At 34.6% G+C, this 22886-nt stretch overlaps 1 protein-coding gene across 3 annotated transcripts in view; it reads right to left on the bottom strand.

Moving 5' to 3' along the window:
- Positions 1–22886, bottom strand: part of LRP1B (LDL receptor related protein 1B) — a 1899594-nt gene that overhangs the window by 1876313 nt on the left and 395 nt on the right. The window contains exon 1 of one of the 3 annotated variants that reach the window (XM_017004341.2): positions 1125–7713. The exons of the other annotated variants lie outside the window; for them this stretch is intronic. The gene's annotated coding sequence lies outside the window, so the exon portion shown is untranslated. Of the gene's footprint in view, positions 1–1124; positions 7714–22886 lie in introns of those variants that run through there. 3 annotated transcript variants of the gene reach the window in all.

Here is a 22886-nt window from a genome sequence, read left to right on the forward strand (position 1 = left end):
TCCTGTCTCAGCCCCCTGAGTAGCTGGGATTACAGGCACCCACCACCACGCCTAGCTAATTTTTTTTTTTTTTTTTTTTTTTGTATTTTTAGTAGAGACAGGGTTTCACCGTGTTGGCTTGGCTGGTCTTGAACTCCTGACCTCAAGTGATCCGCCCACCTCGGCCTCCCAAAGTGCTGGGATTATAGACATGAACCACCATGCCCAGTGGATTCAATGAATTATATATATTTATATTATATAATTTTTCATAAGAGCTTATGTCATATATGTTCATAATTTTCTTCATTCTGCTATTATAATTTTCAGACAAAGTTCTTATAGTTTGGGTACTTAGGGCTACAGATATATCTTAATGGCTCCAAAAAGTTTCCTAACACATTTCTGAAAATCAAATATAAATCTCTTTAAAAATTATATATAATATATGAGATGACTCAAATATAAAAATGAATTTATAGGGAACTCTCCATAAATAATAAAGCAGACATGTTCTCTGAAATAAATCTTTCCTATGATTTTAGAGCTCTACCGTTATGCTAAATTATTTTTCTCAAATAAGCTTCTATATGTTTCAATTCCATGGGAAATAGCAATCCAAAATTTAAAATTAGCTTAAAAAATCTATAGGATCAGTCTTTTCGTGTTATCCACTAAGAGTGTAATTTGCAAGTAATTAATCAATAGATGTTCAATAAAAAAACCACTAAGGCATAGGTTGTCAATGTTATTGACTACTATCCTCTCTCATGGGAAAAGAAAAGTCCGTCACTGAATGACAAAGAATTTCCATTTTTAGAGTCTTTGCCTTTTTAATAATTATTTCATGGCACTATTGTTCTAATATCCTATATTTGCTTTCATGTGAAATATAGGCTTCATGAAAATCTGAAGAACTAAAGGATTAAATGATTGAATACTGACAAAGCTGACTGAGGAGGCTTGGACATTCAACAGTTTTGCTTTCACTACCAAGTGGATGGAGGATTTTTAAAATTATTTTTCAAGCGTGCTCTTTAATTTGCCATTAGTACATATTTACATAAGTTTTCTATCACTTACGATTATCTTATATAAGACACAACACAAGTAAAAAGGGACAAAAGAATCCTATAGATACTCACATTGCTCCACACACCTGAGACCTAGTTATATTTTTGTCTCCAGCCTTCAGCTAAAATTTGCTCTGTAGAATTTATTCACCAAGGTCACTAAAGTCAGATCACTTGTATATTTTGCCCAACTGACGTCAGGTAAAGACAACTGAGTATTTCAAGTGCTGGGGTGCCTTATTATTTCAGGACCATTGGTCACAGGAATTATGCTTATCCAAGAACTTTTCTAGTGAGCCTAAAGTGGTGTCTTACTTGAAAATGTATTTTTCAGAGACAAATATCTCAATTTTCATTTGACAGAATTCTGTTACATGTGAAGATCAACTTAAAGAGACTAACAACAACAAAAAGAACATGATGACCTTATAAACATTATGGACCTCAGTGGACTAGGAAAAAGGACATTTAGAGTGGACTTTGGGAGGGGAACAACGGTTTCCCAAAGATTGTTATAGCTTAATGAGTTCCGTGATCACACATCCATTATGTCAGGTAAACATGGCTCCCTGCTGGCTCCCCAAAGCCTGCTGACAATTGGTGGTTATGATGTTAACTCACTTGAACACCCTAGAAATGTTTTAATTTCTTTTTCTCCTATTTTTACAACATTAGAACAAGGCTTGAATTTACCAAGAAAATGTAAGAGCAAAAACAAAATAACATAACTTGGGTACTTCTGATAGCAGTTCTGTGTTGTTACTGTAAGCAATGCTTATTTTAAGAAATGATATTCTTCCAATTATTAAAAATAATTTTGAGAATACCTATGAATTTATCAGAAATAAAGAATTTTCAAATATCAGCACACTCTAATAAATTATGCCCCTTTAGTTAAAGGAAGGCCAAGATTAACATTGTACATATTTGTCTAAAATTACTGGTTTTAATTGCTTTGCATGAAACCAAAAGTGTAACATGTTTGGTTTTCAAAAGACAAAAGTAATAAAACATGTTGTTTTAAATTTCAGGATTATTTTATTTAAACGGGAGTTTTTCCCAATGAGGAGGAAAATAATACATGCATTAAGCATTCCTCACAGGCCCCTTACCTGAAGAGAAAATAATAGCATCAGCAAAGTACAGTGTCAACATTTAAAAGTGATGCTTGGTTTGGTTGTTTTCAAAAGCTGTATAGAATGATATGTGTAGTATTAAAAGAGACAAACCTAAGCCTTGATTTTAGTCTTCATTCTGATTTTCCGACAGAAAATCTTTAATGTAGAGACTCTGATGAGAAAGCAAACTATCCTTTATGTAAATTTATCACTTAGAAGCATTGAACATGTACTTGATGTTATACAAGCCCATCATTCTTCCTGGAATAAAAATTCCTCTTTTTTCAAGAAGTAAAGTGGTACTTATGGAGCATAAAAAGTAAAATAGATGGTCCTTTTCTCCATACCTGTTTATTTATAAGGCAAATGTAAAAGCCCTGCATGGTGAAAAGATATAATGAAAATCAGAAAAATCTTTATTTTTAACTGATAAAATTTAAAAAAAGCTATCTGAAATAATACTACCAAGATCAGAAAAGTATTCCAGATTGCCAGTAATTTAGTCTTGATATTTTCAGATTCAACATGGCGGTGGATCCTCACAGGACACGCAGCAAGAGAGCAGTCATGATTTGAGGGGCCACCAATAAGTTAATAAGTAGTGGGAGAAACCCTCAGTTCTAATGTAGCAAAAATGTCATTTTAAACTATCTGAGGAAAAAATAAATTACATTTTGAATGACTAATCTAAGGAGAAAATATGAGAATCTATACTGAAGTATTTTCTGCAACAAGGATCTTTCCTTTGATAATAAAGGAGTTCATTAATTATATTCATACAATTGTTAATGATTTCTTTTAGGAACTATTTTTAAAGCCCACCTTGGGTTCACCAGATTATAAAGGACATCTCCTACATATCTCACTCTTCAGGAGTTCATCTTATATTTACTGTATCATGATGAACAACCTATTGTAAATTGGTTCTCTTTTTCTTCACTAATTTTGTTCCTGCAATTCCCTCTGCTTAGATATCCATCTATGGCAGCAATAGTCTATATGGCACTTTTGTGCTAATTAGAAAAAGGCAACTTTGGACAAATGCAACCCTGGATTAGGGCACATAGTTTGATAAATAGAATGCAATGTGGATGTCACTCCTCCTTTCAGTTTTTATATGTAGTTCCTTTGTGCAGTGCACAGACCTTGCAGCAGCCCTGATCTCTCCTATTCTAAACTTCACTGATTTCTAAGCATTAATAACTGCCCACTGTGGGCAAAACTGGAGATCCAGAAAAGTATGTATGTAATAATAAAACTACAATAATGCTTAGTGTGTGTTAGGAAGTCACTTTGAGTTGGAGTTTTATAAATCTGTTCTATACTCACAACATCCCTTTGAGCTTTTTTGCAAAGAGGTGCGCAAAGGTTCAGGGAGATTGTGTATCATGGCCAGTGTTATACAGCTAACAAGTGATAAAGCCTGCATTTGAGGACAAGCAGACTGACTTTAAAACTTAATCTCATTACCTCAACCCTAATGTGTGTTTTGTAAATTACTGGGAACAGCTCAAGTGTAGGCTCCTGGATCCTGCGCATACATTTCTCTCCTTGCATTCAAGTATAGGAAGCAAAACATGATCATGGGGCAAAGAAACATGAGAGTCTTGAGAGAGCCTTTTGTCCATGAATAATGTTTTAACTTCTTTATTGGATTTTTATAACCTGATTCATCCTGAAAAGGATTTAAAGATGATATCCTCCATTTAAATCATACCACATGGTGGCATATTAAACAACCAAACAAGCAAACAAACAGGTAAATTCCATCTGTTACAGTGGGGATTCTGATATGAATAGCATTGCTGTTCTGTTTGTGGAATCCATGCCAGTCTTAAATATTTTCATCACACAGGACTATATGACTGACTACTACTATTATAACAAACATTATTACTAATACTGCTACTAATAAACTTCCTTTAATTGAGTGCAAAAAACAGGTATTATCTCAAAACTTCAAAAGAATAATGTATACTAGGTATCATTATCCCCATTTTATAGATAAGAAAATATAAACTTGAAGAGATAATGTAATTGATCAGAGGTCACAGTGCTATATAAGTGCAGTCTTTTCTTATACAATGATACACCATATTGCCACTGAGTATGGTAGCAAAGCAGAAGCTGCAAAGCATTACATCAAGGTGCCTTTCCATCTATGCTATGAATTCTACTAGTACATGTACCGATAACTTACATCACAGTTATTAATATACAGATGCCTAACACCACCCAGAAAACATTCCGCCCAGAAATGCTCAACCTTACTCTAGTCTAGGCGATAGATCTAATATCTAGTTTACAGAAAATATCAGTTATAGAGGACAAAGATAGATAAAATAATGAGAAAGTCAGAGCAAATTCAGAACATTGAATATTCTATAAGTGACGGAATCATTTCAAAAGGTCAAACTCATGTAAAAAATAGGGAGGGACTACAATTCATTATAAAAGGAGAATTAAGAAAAAGAACAACCAAATATAATGTGTGATCCATGATTATGTAGTAGTTAAAAGGAAAAAAATGTTTTAAAAAGCCATAAAAGATAGAGAAAATTGGAAAAATGTAAAATGAGCTATCAAATTCGGGAGGGAAATAAAGAAGATGAGTTTTACTGGAGGAATCATGGAAGATGTCATAAAATCAGAGGCATTTGTTCCATCTATTGCATGGCATTGCTCTGTGATTTTCCAGACTACATTGATTTCCTCATTGTCTAAACTAGAATCTTGACAATAACATTTTTGAATAAATATTTCTAGATGGCGTTCTCTAATTGTTTCTGGTGTTTAAGCCTCTTCTCCCCAGGATTCTATCTTCTACTCTTCGAATTGGTTCTGATGTGCTCAGTACAAGACTCTATAGTAGGTACTCAAATAGATTGAGGCATTGAATATGTATGTACACACAAGACTCTCAAAGCCTCTTGCTAGCCAATGGGTGTATTAACACAAAGCAATGTGTGTTGCAATAAAATTCCAGTGTAAAGTCATGGATTAAAGGACTCTTTGAAGTTATTTGTAATTCCATTCTCTTATTGCAAAATTTAATCTAACTAGATGCTAATAAAAATAAGTTGGTACTTAACCACCAGAAAGAAAGGAATCTTTCTTCCCCCTGGTGGTTATAGAATGCAGCCTCAACATATCTTGGTAAGGTGGGAGGCTTTATGCATTATTCTCCTGATTTTACAAGACAGGAAATAGACACAGAGAGAGGCTAAGTGACTTGCCCAAGGACAAAGAGTGAGTCAGATGCAGAGCTGGGAATCAAGCCCACTTCTCTTGGTTCCCAGTGTACAGCTTTTCTCAGCAAGCCATAATGCCTTTCAGAAGGATCATTTCCTAAAATGTATTAAGTTGTTAAAAATTCAATATGGGTGTTACATTACTTTCCAGCTAGCTCTGTTTCTCACTACCTTACTAGAGCTATTATCAGAAGTTAAACTAATTGTCAGATTAGTAATTCCATATCTATAATTTTTAAGCAATACCTCATTAAAACTGGATATATACAAATATCTAAGAAGAATCAGAGTTTTTAGAGAATGAGGTTAGGAGTAACCTTTACAGTTGCCACAAAAAAAAAAATGTAGCTTCAAAGTTAGGAGAAAGTGGAAATGATCATGTAGAACAAGGTCTCATCAGCCACCAGAAATTTTAAAACAAAAAGAACACAACAATGTTGTGTTCATGGTGAAGCAGCACTAAAAACAAAACTAACTAACTAAATAAATAAATACGTGTGTACATTGAAACAGTGGAGATCCTAGGCCTTTCAAGAAGATTCTGGACACTTGTTTTTATTCAAAGCAATGCTTGTTCCATTAGCTGGGATTTTACCAGTTAGTTCATTGGGAATTCTGGATCATGGACAGGCACCATCCTTTTCAGTGATAATTACTAGAGCCTCTTATTGTGCTAACTCAACCAGAAATGGTAACTAAGCAGGCCAGATACTCAAACTTCTATACACAGTCCTCCAGCTGTGATCACTGGAAACATCACTAACTGATAACAATGCCCTTTACCAATGAATCCAGACTCAGTATAGGATCTCTTTCTATAGAGCAGTATGAACAGCCACCACCAATTGGTCATGACTGGTCCGAAACATTAAACCCATTCACTATATCTAGCATCTACTTATCTATGCACTCCCTTCTGCAAGCCAAGATATAGAATCCTTATAGACCCAGTGTCTTACCTCCCAGTTCTGATCAAATCCTTTGCTATTGTCTTTTATATGACTTGCTTATGCTTCTTTTTAAGTCAACATACCTAACACAGATTTCCCTAAAAATGATCAATATGCAGTAGTCTGTTTTATAAAACGTATCTATATTTTTCCTCAGAAACTTTGAAAACAGTGGATTTCAAATGCCTTAAGGAGCATCATAAGAAGTAATCATAGTAATTCAGAATTTTAGTCAGCATATAATCAATTATTGCAGTGAATATTAAAATTAAAGTATTGAACAGTTCTAGTCCAGCAACCCCACTGCAGAGTATATATCTAAAAGAAAAGAAATCAGCATATCAAAGAGATATCTGTGCCACTATTTTTATTGCAGCACTATTCATAACAGCCAAGATATGAAATCAACCTAAGTATCTATCAAGATGAATGGATAAACAAAATGTGGTACATATACACAATGAAATATTATTCGGTCATGAAAAATAATACAATTCTGTCATTTACAGCAACATAGATGGAACTGGGGGGCATTAAACAAAGGGAAATAAGCCAGGCCCAAAAAGGCAAGTATCACATGTTATTACTTATATGTGGGAGTTCATGAAGGTAGAGAGTAGAGCAATAGATACTGAAGCCCGGGAAAGGTGTGCTAGGGTGGGAAATGAAGAGTAGCTGGTTAATGATTACAACATACATTTAGATAGACAGAAAAAGATCTGGTGTTTGATAGCACAATAGGGTGACTATAGTTAATAATTTATTGTACATTTCAAAGTGAAAGATTTGGAATGTTGACAACAAAAAGAAATAATAAATGTTTGAGGTGATAAAAATCCCAATTACCCAGTTTCAATCATTACACATTGTATATTTGTATCAAAATATGACGTGTCCATAAATATGTACAGCTTCTATGAATCCATAAAAATTAAAAATAGAAATACATAAGGTAATGAGCAAAATGATTTCTTTTGGAACAGTAAAACATATTAACGGAGGAATTGTTCTTGCAATTGGTTATCACCTTTAAGATAACCTTATGATACTTAAGAGAGTGCATTCAGTTAGAAGTCTGTAAAATTTCAACATCCTATGAAATGCTTTAGAGAAGTGATTGATTCCAGGCTGCAAACAGAGAAAAAAAAATACAAGATGAGCTTGGAACATCTGGCAGTGTTAGAAAATAAGAAAGCGCTCAAAAAAGGTTGAAGATATGTCAAAGGGTAGAGGAGGCAAACTGAAAGAGCTCCCAGTGGCCAAAGGTGGAACAATTTGAGTGAGAAAATAAACAGTGATAGTACTAGATTATATCACAAAAAATAAAATAAAATATCTGTGAGTCTATACCTATATATATATATTACATACATATAATATATAATTATATATAATATATATTATATATTACATATATAATATATATATTACATATGTAATATATATATTATATATGTAATATATATTATATATGTAATATATATATTATATATGTAATATATATTATATATATGTAATATATATATTATATATGTAATATATATATTATATGTAATATATATATGTAATATATATATAATATATATGTAATATATATATAATATATATGTAATATATATATAATATATATGTAATATATATATTATATATATGTAATATATATCATATATATGTAATATATATCATATATATGTAATATATATCATATATATGTAATATATATCATATATATGTAATATATATATATACATATATATATATATGGGGGAAGTGACAGCTCTTCCTTAGAGAAGCATTCCAATTAATAAACCTATAGTAGAAAGAATGCATCTGGGCACAGTAGCTTATACCTGTAATCCCAGCACTTTGGGAGGCCAAGGCGGGTGAATCATTTGAGGTCAGGAGTGTGGGAGCAGGCGGCCAACATGGTGAAATGTCTATCTCTACTAAAAATACAAAAATTATCTGGGTGCGGTTGCATATGCCTGTAGTCCCAGCTACTCAAGAGCCTGGGAGGAGGAGGTTGGAGTGAGCTGAGACCGCAACACTGAACTCCAGCCTGGGTGACAGAGCGAGAGTCTGTCTCAAAAAAAAAAAAAAAAAAAAAAAGAATGAGAAAGATATCACCTCACTCAATTGATCAAGATTAACATAACTAATAATAGGGTATATTGTCATGCATTTCCCAAGGGTATACTGAGTAGGGCACATCTCTTTGTGACAAGAATGCATAATTTCCATTTGATCATGAGAAAACATCAGACAAAGCCAAATTGTAGGACAGTTACTAAAGAACTGACCAGCAGTCCTCAAATGAGCCCAGGTTATAAAAGTAAATGAAAGACAGATACTCTCACCAACTGGATGAATCAAAGGATGCATGACAATTTAATGCAGTGAACATTGCATCCTGGATTGGATATTGGGATAGAAGGTCATTAGTGGAAAAAACTGGTAAAATATGAATAAAATCTATACCCTCATTAATAATGTTGTCTTGCCAATGCTACATTTTTGTTTTAATATTGTATTATAGTTATGTATTATGTTAGTATCTGGGGAATTGGTTGAAGGGTATATGGAAACTCTGTATTAGACTTACAAATTTTCTGTAAGTCTAAAATTATATCAAAATATAAAGTTAAAAAAATACTTCGTCAAATAATGAGTTTGGATAAACTAATTCTTATGTGAAACACATGTATGAAGTCTGAAGTCAGTGTGTGGTAATAGAGCACACAGTTGGCCCTTGTTTAGTCACAGCTTCCCAAGGAACAGAAAGATAAAATACAAACCTAAATGTGATCTCATTTGTATCTCAGTATGAGAATTTGTCTACTTATCAGAATCATATCTCTGCTGTCTTCCCTTTGCTGTGTTTTTCTTCTGCTCCCTTTTTTTCTTTTCTTTATTTCCTTCCACATTTCACTAACAATGTGTGTGTGACATTGTAATGTTGTTTCAACCACGTGCTGTTACTTCCCACACGGAATATTTTCCCCCAGGTCCCTGCAGTACTAAGGCTGAAATCTCCGCTTAGCATTTCTTCATTAGTATTAAGAGAGTTTTGTTTCTTAGAGCACTTTCAGAAACATGATCCCATGTTAAGTCACAATTGGGTCTAATATCATTAAACCTCTGCTGGGTCATTAATGATTTTCTCTGCATCCACGTTCTCTCCCCCGATTCTGCTTTACGTTTAGCAAGGGGGAGGAAGATGTGAAGACAGAAATGCAGGATTCATCCTCGTATTCTTCTTTCCGAACCCACATCCTGCCATAATGGCCCAGTCGAAATATCTAGTCATTATGCTCGGCTCTCTAGGGCCATCTTTTGCCTGCAGTGCACCAAGTAAAAACATGTTTTCATTGTGACCCAGTCCAGCCTTCTACTGATATCGGCAACTCAGGGGTTGCATAGTAAACCACAGGCTGTTAGCCTCAATGTTGAATCCAGCAACTTGCTTTATTGGTTCCCACAATGGATTTTTATTTGTGTGTGTGTGTGTTTGTGTGTGTGTGAGAGAGAGAGAGAAAGAGAGAGTCTGTGTATGTGTTTTCTGCTTTATCTTGATAGGCAATATTTAAAACTTAGGATATTTTCCATAAAAATTCAGATTCCCAGCCAGTCTTAAAGGCCTGTAACCCTGGGCCCACAATCACTCAAGGCCAGAGTCTGCTCAAGTTGAATATCAGCTGCCCTTTTGGACAGTGTGGATTTTCTCCAATTTACAAGTCACCCACATCATCTTCTGACCAGCCTGGCTGCTATATGCTTTTGTGTTTGCAAAGCTTGCCCTATATCTTGACTTTTAATCCATAAAGATCAGTCAAATATGTCTGAGTGCCATTGCTTGACATGATGAGCATAGAAATTTAAGCAGCCTTTTCCTCTGAGTCTAGGAATCTCAGAAGCCACAGTCAACCCTATTTCTCTCTGTGAAACCATAGAAGAAAAGTTGCCAATCATTTTCTTTTGCCTGCAGAAGGGAAGAAAAAGGGCAGGATTCCTACTTCGGGTTCCTTTATATGATTTTTTTTTCTTTGCTTTTTAAGGAAATGTTTTTATTCTTATTACAAATTGCACTCAACTCTCACTTACATAGTGACTCTCGGGCTTGGGTTTACAATGTCGTGATGGAGCCATTACTGTTGTATTTTGCATGGAAGAATTTTACTAATCCTCTTTGGCATTCATCTCTAAATCTTGGTAAATTCAAATAGCTTCAGCCTCTGAAAGTTTATTTTTTACTTAAGTGATTTTCACGCTATTGCTAGATTTTTCAGGTGTCTCCCCAGCTTCACAGCTATCTGAATACGCTTTGGTTACTTCCCTTGGCTCTTTACAGCAGGTTTATGGTCTGTTCCAACGGGTCAACATTTTCTGCCCAAATGACTTTAACTGTGAGTGTGCAGTCAGTAATTATCATTTTTGTGCTTTACCTAATATATAAATAACTCCCTTATATTCATTTTGAACCTGTTCCCATAGTACTTTCCTTATGAAAGAAAAAAGCCCTTCAGCAGACTTTGGTGTGATATGAGCAGAGTTCCAGTCAGGGGGCATAAATCATACCTCGTATTCACATATATACAAGTAACCCTTCCCCTTTCTGCTGTTTTTATTTACTTAGATTAATTTATTTCCAAACATTTGGCACCCCTCTGCTAAAGTACACAGCAAACAAATTTACAGTGAGTCCCAAATTAAATATTAATGCAAAATCTCCAGCTCCAAATTTCATTTGGTTCAGTCACTGTAAAATTTAATAAAATTTTGGTATGTGTTTCATATTTAACTTATTTCAAGGTATAATGTTGACTTTAGCATTGAAATTTTGGAGCCAAATTATCAAAGAGGGTTTGACAACATGAATGAAAAGTAAACTTAAAGTGACAAATTATATTTCTACACATGCATCTAGCAAATATCTACCAAACCTGCAAGTAAGCTCTTTACACAACAAATAAATTAGTTGAGATCTTTTGCTTCAATATTTTATTTAGGCATTTCTAAAATTTTAAATGCCTGAGCTTTGAATCTCTTTTCATTTTAACCTAATGCATGTTTAGTGTCTCTTCCCTTAAGTGTAAAAACATACCATGCTTGAAAACTAAGAAAGCAAGTTATTTTCTTATACATTACTTATAATGATCATGTAGCATTTCCAAGGTAATTTCTCTGGTTGAAGTAAAGTATATTCTTCCACAATGCTGCAGGTCCAGCAATATAAATTAAATAGTGTTTAAAAGGGTTGATTACTCCAAGCTGCCTTTTTGGCACTCTGTTTAGATGCTCTTCATAACCTAAAAACAAACTGAGTGAGATATTTTGGGGATTAAGCTGGTACTCTGAAATGCAGATTTGGACATCAACTTATAAACCTAAACTCTCACTTTTTCTCACAGTGGAGAATGGGAGAGAAAGCACCAAAAGAGAAAACAGAGCAATGAAAAAAATCATAGGAACAAAATCCCAAAACAATCTTCAAATACCTTAGGACCCAGGGTAATTCAATCAGCTTAACAGTAACAATATTTCCTTCAAATAGTGTATTCCTTTCTCTTTTTTTCATATATTCTCTAGGCTGTGATATTTTTCTTTCCATCATTTTTATAGTACTTTCCTCCTTTGTCTTTCTTTGCCTCTCACTCTCTCTTTCCTTTTTAGCTTCAACAAGGACTAAATAGACCCCAAACCGTTTGATCCGTATCCACAAGCAAGCTTTCCTTGACAATCCAAAGTTGTACAATTGCTAGTGTTTTTATTTTCTAGTTTTGGTTTTAATAGGGTGGTTATTTCTGCCTCCGAGTCTACAAACCACACTGAGACTGGTACATGTTAGCATGTCAGGCACTACAATGTTTATTCAATGAATGTGTAGATACATAAGAATAATCCAAGGGCTCTAATTGTCCAACAGGTAATAACCGTATATCATAAACTCTTACCTGGTAGGTTCTCCTAACCTGGCAGATCCTCACCACTCACTTCTTTACTACAGGTTTTTTTGTTTGTTTGTTTTTTGAGACAGAGTCTCAGTTGCTCAGGTTGGAGTGCTGTGGCACAATCTCTGCTCACTGCAACCTCTGCTTACCAGGCTTAAGTGATTCTCCTGCCTCAGCCTCCTGAGTAGCTGGGACTACAGGCACATGCAACTATGCCTGGCTAATTTTTGTATTTTTTGTAGAGACAGGGTTTCACCATGTTGGCCAGGTTGGTCTCAAACTCCTGCCTTCAGGTGATCTGCCCACCTCAGACTCCCAAAGTGCTGGGATTACAGGCGTGAGCCACCATGCCCGGCCTTTACTACAGTTTTCTTGGAATTTCCAGGGAGGGTGATGAATACAGCCAATAATAGCTTTGTTACAATTTCTTCCCTTTTTCCTAATTAAATATTCATCAGCAGGAACTTGAGTGTCAGTACAAACTCTTCTCAATCATGTCAAGAATTCAGGGACAATTGAAAAGGAGCTCTTTCTTTAAAACACTGCAAATTTCTTCAACAAACAAACCCAAATAAGTCTTCATAGGCCAATGCCTGTTTCTTTTGCTATTATGCTGGTTTATGTTGATAGAAATAACAGCAAAATTATTGCTTCCATACTTGTCAATGCTTAAAACATTGCTAAGTGTATCATTTTAACTAATTCCCTAAAGAATACTGTGAGTCAGACTCAATTAATTCCATTTTACAGACATGGCATAGGCAAACACAGGGTGTTAGGAAATATGGTATTAATAATTCTGAAATATAAAAGAAAAAGCAATAAGAAAGTAAACAATATTGTAGGGCCCACATATGACCATCATGTGACTTTTATTGTGAACCATGTTTTACACAAATCAATAAAAGGCACTGCAAAATGGAATGTACCCATTTAAAATAGCCTGAAATAATTTATTATCTGATTAGAATATTAACCCTTTCCCCCAAAGATTATCTTTTGCGGCTTTATTTCATGCCTATCCTCCCTAATACATAGAATGGTGCTGCATTCGTTCTTATAGAAAATCTTTCTAAACTAAAAATGCAAATCTCTGTTGTAGCTTGTCGTTATTGCCACTACTACTCCCTCATTCAAGCCATCAACATCTTTTCCAGGATGAATTTGATAATCCCTGAACTGGATTCATCATTTCCCTTCTTGTCCTTCTTTTCAGACCAAGCATGATCTCTTTAAAAAGTAAGTTGCATCATTTTCACCTCTGATTAGACAGCCAGTAGCTGCTCAAAATCAGAACCAAACCCAAATGCCTCAATTTGATCTGCATGACCCTACCTGACCTAATCTGACTTCACTGTAAATATGGCTTTCTCTACTTCTGTTCTCTCCCAAACACACACAGTTTATTTCAGACAAAGTGACCTGCTTTCTTTAAAATACCAAAATCACAACTTCCTCTCAAGGGTTGCATAGAAAATTCCTCCCTCTAGATGACTCAGAGCTTGTCCCCTCTCGTCACTTAGTTTTACCAAATATGTCACTTACTCAACAAGGCCTTCTGCGATTATAACTACGACTCCCAATTGCATTGTCCTCAGTCACATTACATTATTTTTCTTTCTTTTTAGCAAGGATGTTATTTATTTATTTGTTTGCTGTTTCTGTCTCCTCTTGCACTAAAGCCCTATCAGCCCAGTTACATTGTCTACCTTGTTCACTTGCTTCATTCCAACCACGTAAAATAGTGATTACCACTTATTTGCTCATCTTTGTCAAATGAGTGAATAAACACATGAGTGATCACCAACTATATGAGTTGCTTCAAGGATCATGTGATTCAGCAAGAAAAAAAAAATTTGAATGAAAAGCGAAGGTATGCTGAAAATGTAAAGAGCTTCTTGCTATTAGTAACTCATATTAAGCAATTAATATAATTAATAAAATAATAGGTATTTATGTAATGCAATACATGATACGATGTGTTTTCACAGACATTACACTCTGTGCACTCACAGAACGTTAGGGTCATAGCTATGTTTATCTTCTCAGAATGGGTCGGAGCAATTTTCTGTAAAACTCTGGTGGTGTTTTCATAGACACCCAGATGAAAATACACACAAGGTAAAACCCTCATGCCCTTCATTACTTTATGTTCTCCTAGCAATGAGAATAGCAAAGGAAGTCAAAATGTGCTAAGATGTTGGTTCTTTCACTGTCAAGATTAATTTCTAAATATTTGACAAGATCACTAGCAAGTGAAAATAGGAAGAAAACGTGCTAGGAGAAGGAACTGTAGAATTGAGTGTAATACAACAACGGACAAAGAAGAAGGTTTAAGTTCTGAATATCTGATATATTTAGTATATCTAAATTCAACATTTAGATTTAGATATTCTAAATGTTGATCATGTTGGATAGTCATCAAATTTTCTTGCAAATAAGATTAGTGTGCTGTTGTATTACAGGACATCAATATAGTGCTCCTGAACTGCTAGTCTTTGTGTTAGAAATGACATCAATACAAGGGCGCTCAGCAAGAGTGCCTGAATTCTGAGTTAGTAATTCCATCTACAAATCTGATGTAGTTATTATGCTTAATGAAAATCTCAAAAATATGGATGCCCAGTGGGCACAATCTGTAGTGCTTTCACCTGATGAGGCAAGAATCTCACTCACGAGGTGGTGTCATTATCACTGTACTTCCAGATCTTAGTCATGAAAAAAATGCCTTAAAAGTTAATAGAGTTGGATAAAGTGGAATATTTCAATAAAGCACACTTGCTATTCTAACATTTTTGTCCCAATAAAAATATACCATTAAAAGCTTTGGAAATGCACAAAATGTCTTAGATAATCTAAAAACTGAATCATTTTTAAATCTCTATAATATCTATTTTAGCAAAAGTTTAAGGTTCTAATTAGCTCAGCTACTTGATCTGAGCAGTAGTGGACAGAAGCTTCAATAAATTCTGACTATCAAAGTTCTCTTTCTTGGCATTGTTTTTCTTCCTTTCCTTACACATCCTAGTTTCAAAAGAAAACAGATGATTCTAAACACATTTCGGTTATCAGCATTACACCTACAGCTTTTCTTTCTCACAAATATCTTAAGATATGCTAGGAACACACAAAGCAACCATAACTAAGTTTCATTTCTCCCCAAAACTCATTGTTAGTTATCTTTTCTCATTTTAAGAAGAAAGGGCTAAGATGACAAATCGTCATTAAAGAAAAACTCAGCGGTAGAAAAATTCTTAAGGAATTATATATTCGTATTTCTAAAGTTAAGCAGTCTTGGAAATCTTGAAGGATGTCAATGCAATGTGGAAAAGTTAGGAAGGGATGTCCTATTGATTGCAAGAATAAAACAAGAGACGATAGGTGGTACCTTGATCTTACCTAAAGAAGAAACATATTCTTTTGACTAAAATGAGGTCATGTTTCAACAATACCTGTCTTTGGTCTGAAGGCTAAGCCAGTCAGGACAATGAGGTGTATGCAACTCAGGAAGAGATGTCTGACTGTTAATAAGAATGTATTGTGAGATGAAATGTAATGTCGGTATCTTAGCAAGGCAACATGATCTATCTTCTTCAAGAAGTTTTTTTTTTTTTTTGGTTATTTTTCTCTTAACAAAGTTGGAAGAAATTGTATATGAAAAGGTACTTTCTCAACTTCTGTAAAGGATATAGTTATAATATTATTCATGTTTAAATGGAAACTTTTAAATACACAAGCTTATATCTGAGAAACTTTTATATACGAGCTTATATTTGAGAAAAATAAGATTAAACAAATGGATCTGTGGTACAAATGTATTAATCAAAATTAATTTTCTTTCTTTTCTAAAGGTAAAGACACCTTTGAAAAGCGTTACGTATTTACAACTATTCTGCAATATTTAAGAAGAAATCCCAAATGTAGACAATACATCATTATTAAACAAATATGAGTAGAGTTATTGAACAACAGAAAAACATGTTTTTTTTAATTTTAATTTTAGATTTGGGGGTACATGTGAAGGTTTGTTACATAGGTAAACATGTGTAACAAGGGTTTGTTGATCATATTATCTTACCACCCAGGTGTTAAGCCCAGTGCCCAATAGTTATCCTTTCTGCTCCTCTTCTTCCTCCCACCCTCCCCCTTGAGTAGACCCCAATCATGTTGAGACATGATTATTTCCAAAATGAACATTACTCTTTTCCACTAAGGATACTTACAAATTTGAAGTAATAGGGAATAAGATCAACAAATGGGTATACTCATTTATTTATTCATGCCATTGCATTTTTAAAAATCATAATTGGGTACCTAATTGTAGACTAAAACTAAGTTAATGTGACTGCATATGAAAATTATTATAGTCATATTTAAAAGAGCATTTAATCCTGTTGTCCAATTTATGAATGATTTCCACTATATATATTCTTTATTGAGAGAAAATCTTTGAAATCACATTTTGGAATATATTTAAGTTTTTTTTAATGTTTCACAAAATGGAGAAATACAAATTCAGTTAAAAAGTAAAGACAAAAAGAAAAATAATAAATTTCCACTTTCAATATAGTAAATTCTCTTTGAGTACAAATGAATTCAGAATACTTATTTATTTTCTAATAGTGTTTTAAACTTGTATAATACCCCATTATATAAATATGTAGTTACTACCAAAAATATTTCATTTGCCTAGTATGAGAGACACAACAGCAAAAGCACATATGATTTGCTCTGCAAACTAGAAATATGTTGCATAATTCTTTCAGGGAAATATGTTGTTGTTATTGTTTCTTCATAGAATCTCAATTTAGGCTTTTCCTGCAAGACCAGTCTTACTTTTTTTTTTTACAGGATGTATGGCTATTATTTAATAGTTTTGATTTCCATTTAGTTACTAGTCAGTTTCATCAATTGGTTTAGTCAGGGAGCTCAGTCAAAATATGTGGGCTTGTATAGAGATAGCCTAAATAGAAAGGATGGAGAGAAAGAGAGATGGAGAGAGTGAGACTGACTCTACATTTTAATATCACTCAATTTAGAACAGAGCAATACATAATACATACTTTCTAACTTGGCCTTGTAATTATGCCAGGGGAAAAAGGGAGGCCATCTGATCATTTATGAAGAGGAAAATATAGATTTAAAATTGTGAGGGCAGATTATAGAAGACAAACAGAAAAAAAACAGCATATACATTTGGAAGATGTAAGCTTACTTGTTGTGCTGAATGGCAGAATCTCCTGAATCCTTCATTCTCCTTTCTCTAAAATAGAGGGTTCATATGTACTTGGTGAGATTGACATGTTATTCAAATGAGAGAGGACTGAAGAGCCAGAACAGAGATTCAATACTATTGCAAGTATAATACTTTTCAAAATTGAGTGAGTGAGGTAAAGACACTCATTCTGTGCCAGTGGAACTCACATATGGAAATTAGTCCAAAAACCAACTTTTAAAAACTCAAATTATTTTTAGAGATATTTTCATTTTTTGTCTTATTTACTGTTTAAATAATATTTTATCCCAAAAAACTAATAAGTTTTAAAAATCTCCATCCAAAATAAAATAACTGGAGAATGTTCCCAAGGCCTATAGACTATACAATTTGTGATTGCTCTGTTGCAATTTCATTTCTATGTCTCTAGACAATGGTTTGTGACACAGGTTAAATTTGGGAATAGCTATCCATGTGAAAATGTATAGCAACTCCACAGAAGAAAATAAAAAGCATCCCTTGACATTTTTCTGTTTGATTAGCTAATTTTCCCTACTCTCCCCCCTCCTCTGCCAAAACCAAAAGAAAAACCTTCTTATTTGACCTTTCTATGCATCAAGATAGTTTTGGTCATTATTCTTGGATTATATGGGGGAAGCCAGGTTTCTTGAAGAAATTTAAGAAAAGTTTTAAAACTATCTAAGGTAGACATAGATATTTTCTCATAGGAGTTTGGCTGAGCATATATTCTGATTAATTCATAATGGAACTCAGTCTTTGGCTTTATTTTCTTTAGCATTCTGCTACTAAATGTATTGCTTCAAATTATAAGCATTGGGTATACCATAATTATATTCATTTCAAAAGCAGATAATTTTGACACGTGTTTCTGCCACACAGTCAGATTCTGTTAAAACAAAATACTTGTTATATCGAAATGTATTAGAATATTATATGCTATGAGTCAAAAAATAACTTAAAATTTTTTTCATTTCACTTTTTTTTTTGTCCAGATAAATAGACATGTTTATCTGGAGTTTTCAAAAGCAAAAGTTTCATTCATAAAAACCATCACCAATTTTCAAGCCAGAGTGGTATTTTTAATGGCGTTTGTGCCAAGGAAAGCCATTTTAAAGCAGATATACAGACACACATAAACACACACAGAGAGAGATTAAAAACGGGGTTGGGGGCAATTGTATAGTTGGGTTCCACTTACTACTAACTTAGTTTGACGAATGATATCATGTTGGCACAGGCATGTTTAACTTTTAGGATTAATTCTACTTTCTTTGAATGCATCTATCTAGAATGAAGACAAGTGTTTCCTTTGTACAAGAATTGTTTTGACAGACAGCCACAGAAGATAGAGAAATCTATCAGTATGTTTGATTGGTACTTTTTACTACACAGAATTCCTATAACCAGGAAAATGCTGAAGGAAAGGGAGGGAGAGTTGCACATTTCACATTAAGATACAAAAATTAATGGCAGAAACATAAAAAACTGGATCCATATATAGAATGGAGAAAAGACATAAAGTTCCCTCAACATCATAATCCTTGTAGAAGACCAAGTCCTGTTCAGTTCAGGTGACTTTAAATGGAGCTGATTTTTATGGTATCCCCTGGGCTGAGAAAAGAAATTGACAAGGTAACTGGCAAGAAACTAATGTCCTGGATCCAATAGATTTGCAAACTAAGTATTTCTGCATACCTCCACCTTGAAAAACAAGCAGCATTTAGAAAGTGTCATCTAAGTCCTAAGAATACATTAACCATATCACTCATCTAGCACCCTTTCTAAGAAAATTTCCTTTACCTTCACTTACATTTTTAAAAAATCACTTCCATATTTGTAATTCTAGCACAGTTAATATTTAATTTTTCTGCAATATTCTCATGTCTCTCTCCATTCTTAGAGGTCTAATTATATTCAGATTCACACTGGTGGCACTTTCCTTAAATTATTTTTATACTGTAAATATTTTCATATAATGTTTTTAATAATGAGATAAAAACATTTTAAGAAATTATTTTGTCTAAAGATATTTTAACCTATTCAAGAAATACTGATTCAGATTCTGATGTATGGCAGAATCCATCCATCCATCCATCCATCCATCCATCCATCCATTCATCTTTTTCCTAAATTTATCTTCAGCTTTCTCTTAACTCCATTTTTCCTCCTGAATTCTGTTTTCTGCAATTCACATTCTTTCTTATTGTTTTAGCACATTTAAATTCTTTCTTTACCTTTTCCATTTTCTCTTTTCTCTCTCACTCAGTTTAAATTTGAGCTTGAGAAGAGAGAAAGAGAACAAATTCAAAGATTAGCAACCTCTTCAAAACAAAACTTTAATGTTATTTGTGGCATATGAAGAGACATAAATCGCAGTTCATTCTTCTTTGAGGGGAGATTAAAATTTTGATATACATTTAATTGCCATTGTTTGATGGTTTTCTATACAGATACATTAAAATGACTATAACAGCATGAACTTTAATTATTTGGAAATGTGTCTCCACATTGTATCATACTCGAGAATTTAACACAGACTAGCATTAGGCCTCTCAATCCCTTTTCAGAAAATTTGACACTTTAAGATATACTTCCTTTTAAGTTTTAATCCTTATCAAGCAATACTTTGATATGATATGACATTGTTATATGACAAATTAGTTGATTCTAAGTGAATCTGATTTATCTTCCAATTTTGGCTGTTAAGAGTTACAAAGATGTTTCCTTTTTAAGATGTGATAGAATGTAATAAAAACTTACATGTACATTAGTTTAGCTCTATATAGAATCAATATAAACTAATAAAATAAACAATAAGGAATTAAAAGACAAGTGCACGTATATGGTTTGAACATAAACATACGAGTTAGTTTCAAGCCTTGTTCTATTTAATACAATGTTTGAACTTATGAATGTATAAAGGAAAAACACAGCTAGAAGGTAATACAAACACTTCTGATATAGTTCATACAGTTTGAGAAGCTACCTATTACACAATAAGTACACGTAGAACCTAAATGTGAATTCTCATTTTTTGTCAAGCAGTTAGCTCTTGCACTACAAAACGCATCTGTATAATTCACATGCCTGTTCTGTTATTCAAGGACGATTGACATAAGCCTGTGCAGAAAGTTACATCTCATTAACCTCTTTCTTGAGTTTATATTCCCATATCTTCTGTTTCAGCATATTAGTGAGGGAAGCTTGTCATAATGCAGTAACACTTTCTTTCTTAACTTTCAACAAGATTTCTCTCTTTAAAATTCCTTTTTCCAAATGGGGCCCATCCTTTTCACTTTTGGTAACTGTGAGAATTTTAGCTCTTTGCTAACAGTTTTGAAAGTGTGTTAAATATATAATAGTGGCAAAGTGCTGGTCTACAATTATTTTTACTTGTGCTATCTGATATAGTACTTCATGTGGACGTGGTGATACAACACGACACTATTTCATTTTTTAGAAAAAAACTAGCAATCGTTTACCATGTGCTCTGCTTCTATCTTAGATGTTCCTCTCCCTCATGAAACTAAATTGGCACCAAATATAATCCTCTTAGTTATTTAATATTCTATCTCAGAAGAAAGTTGTGGGGTCTGTATTTTTTATGTTCTATACAAAATTCTCTTCAGATATTTACTCCAATCATGGTAGCAGTAGTTCTATCCTCATAAATGTATACAAAAGCATTGAGAACTCAGCTTTAGATGAAGTCAAATTTCTGGAGATTGGAGACTCAATCAGGAAGAGCCCAATAGCAGTAGTCTGCCAGTACCATTATATTTTGCTAGCATACTGGGCTGAAAATCTCCATTCTGTTCATCTGCTCTGGTCCAACTTCAAACATTTTTCCTAAGAAAGGTTGAGAGCTGATTGTTCCAGATCAAAGACATCATCATTTCAAGGCGAGCTATGTGCTTCCATTTCATCAGTATAGTTTCCAACCATTCCACACCAACTTCAAGGCAAGTTGAGCAAGTTCAGAAGCTATGGTTAGGTGGCAATGATATGCTTAAAAGATTATCACCAATAAGTGTCAGATTTCCTAAAGGAACTCAGATTAGTCCCACCACTGGTAGAGGAAATAACACGTGTAGGTATGTTACAAAGGCTAGAATCTGGCTGCCAACAGCAGGTTGAATAGAAACACTGCAGTTCATTCCCCTGTTCTTTCCTATAATGAAGCAATATTTTTTGTCAATTCATAATCTGCTTCATGTAAATACAATAACTAAATCTCCCAATGCAACATTCTGCCTATTTGCTTGGCATTGGGATCTGGGTTTCTTTCTCTCTTTCTCTCTCTCTCTCTCTCTCTCTCTCTCTCTCTCTCTCTCTCTCTCTTATTTAAACTAAAAAGCTGAACTATACCAGTCAATATAAGCTCATTTTCTGATTTTAAAAAAATCTATGATACTTCTGATTTTACTTTAACCAGTTAACCATTCCAAGGCCAGGGCCAGTGCCCCAAATATTCATCTAGTATTTTCCTCCCTTTTTCACCAGTGCATCTGTTGTCAAAGATTATTAAACTCGCACAGGGATTCTTGATTTTCCAGATGAAAAGTTTATAGAATCCCGGCTTTTTCTAATTCCTACCTCCTTTCTCCTCTGCTCCCCATATCCATTCCCTTCTAAACTTCTACCATTCACCAGCTGCTTGGAGAAAAAGGAAAAGCAAAGCGCCAGACTGGAGAGAGGCACTCCAGGGGTGGGTTAGCCCCTCAGAGCACCTGGGCTGTGTCACAGACCCTCATAATCGAAAAGTCAATTTCAAGCAGGTGCGTGCGCCCGGAATCGTCCTAAAAGCCTCTCTGCTGATGACAGGACTCTGACCCCAGTCTGCCCCCAGGAAGGGGCTATAGAAACGAAAGGGGCCTGAATCGGCGCTTTCGCCGCTCCACGGACCTCGAATGCAGCAGGTAAGGAAGTTAACCTGGGAGCTAAGTTGAGGGCGGACACGCTTAACGCGGAGAACCTGGAGCTCGCAAAAGCTCGCAGTTGAGGGCCATCGCGGAGGGAAGTCTTTCGGAAATGCGAATTCTCATTCCAACATCTGCAGCGCTTAGAATTCGCGGACAGAAGCGCACAGCCAAGTGCACACACTCCCGGAGGGGACAAAATGGGGACCGGGAAACGGCCAAAGGGAAAAGCTGTGGGGGTGCCGAGGACTCAGGCACTTGGTTCAGAAATCCCGCACCGCACCTCTCACCCCCGCACAGGGCCAGCGCACGGTGGTCACCCGGTCCCGGGGAGCGGAGCTGCAAGGACTTAAGTTTCACACTCACTTATCTGCAAGCATCGCCCAGCAGGAAAGCCAAGGAAGTCAGGGGA

The sequence above is a fragment of the Homo sapiens genome, chromosome 2 (assembly GCF_000001405.40).
Source record: "Homo sapiens chromosome 2, GRCh38.p14 Primary Assembly".
Lineage (NCBI taxonomy): Eukaryota > Metazoa > Chordata > Mammalia > Primates > Hominidae > Homo > Homo sapiens.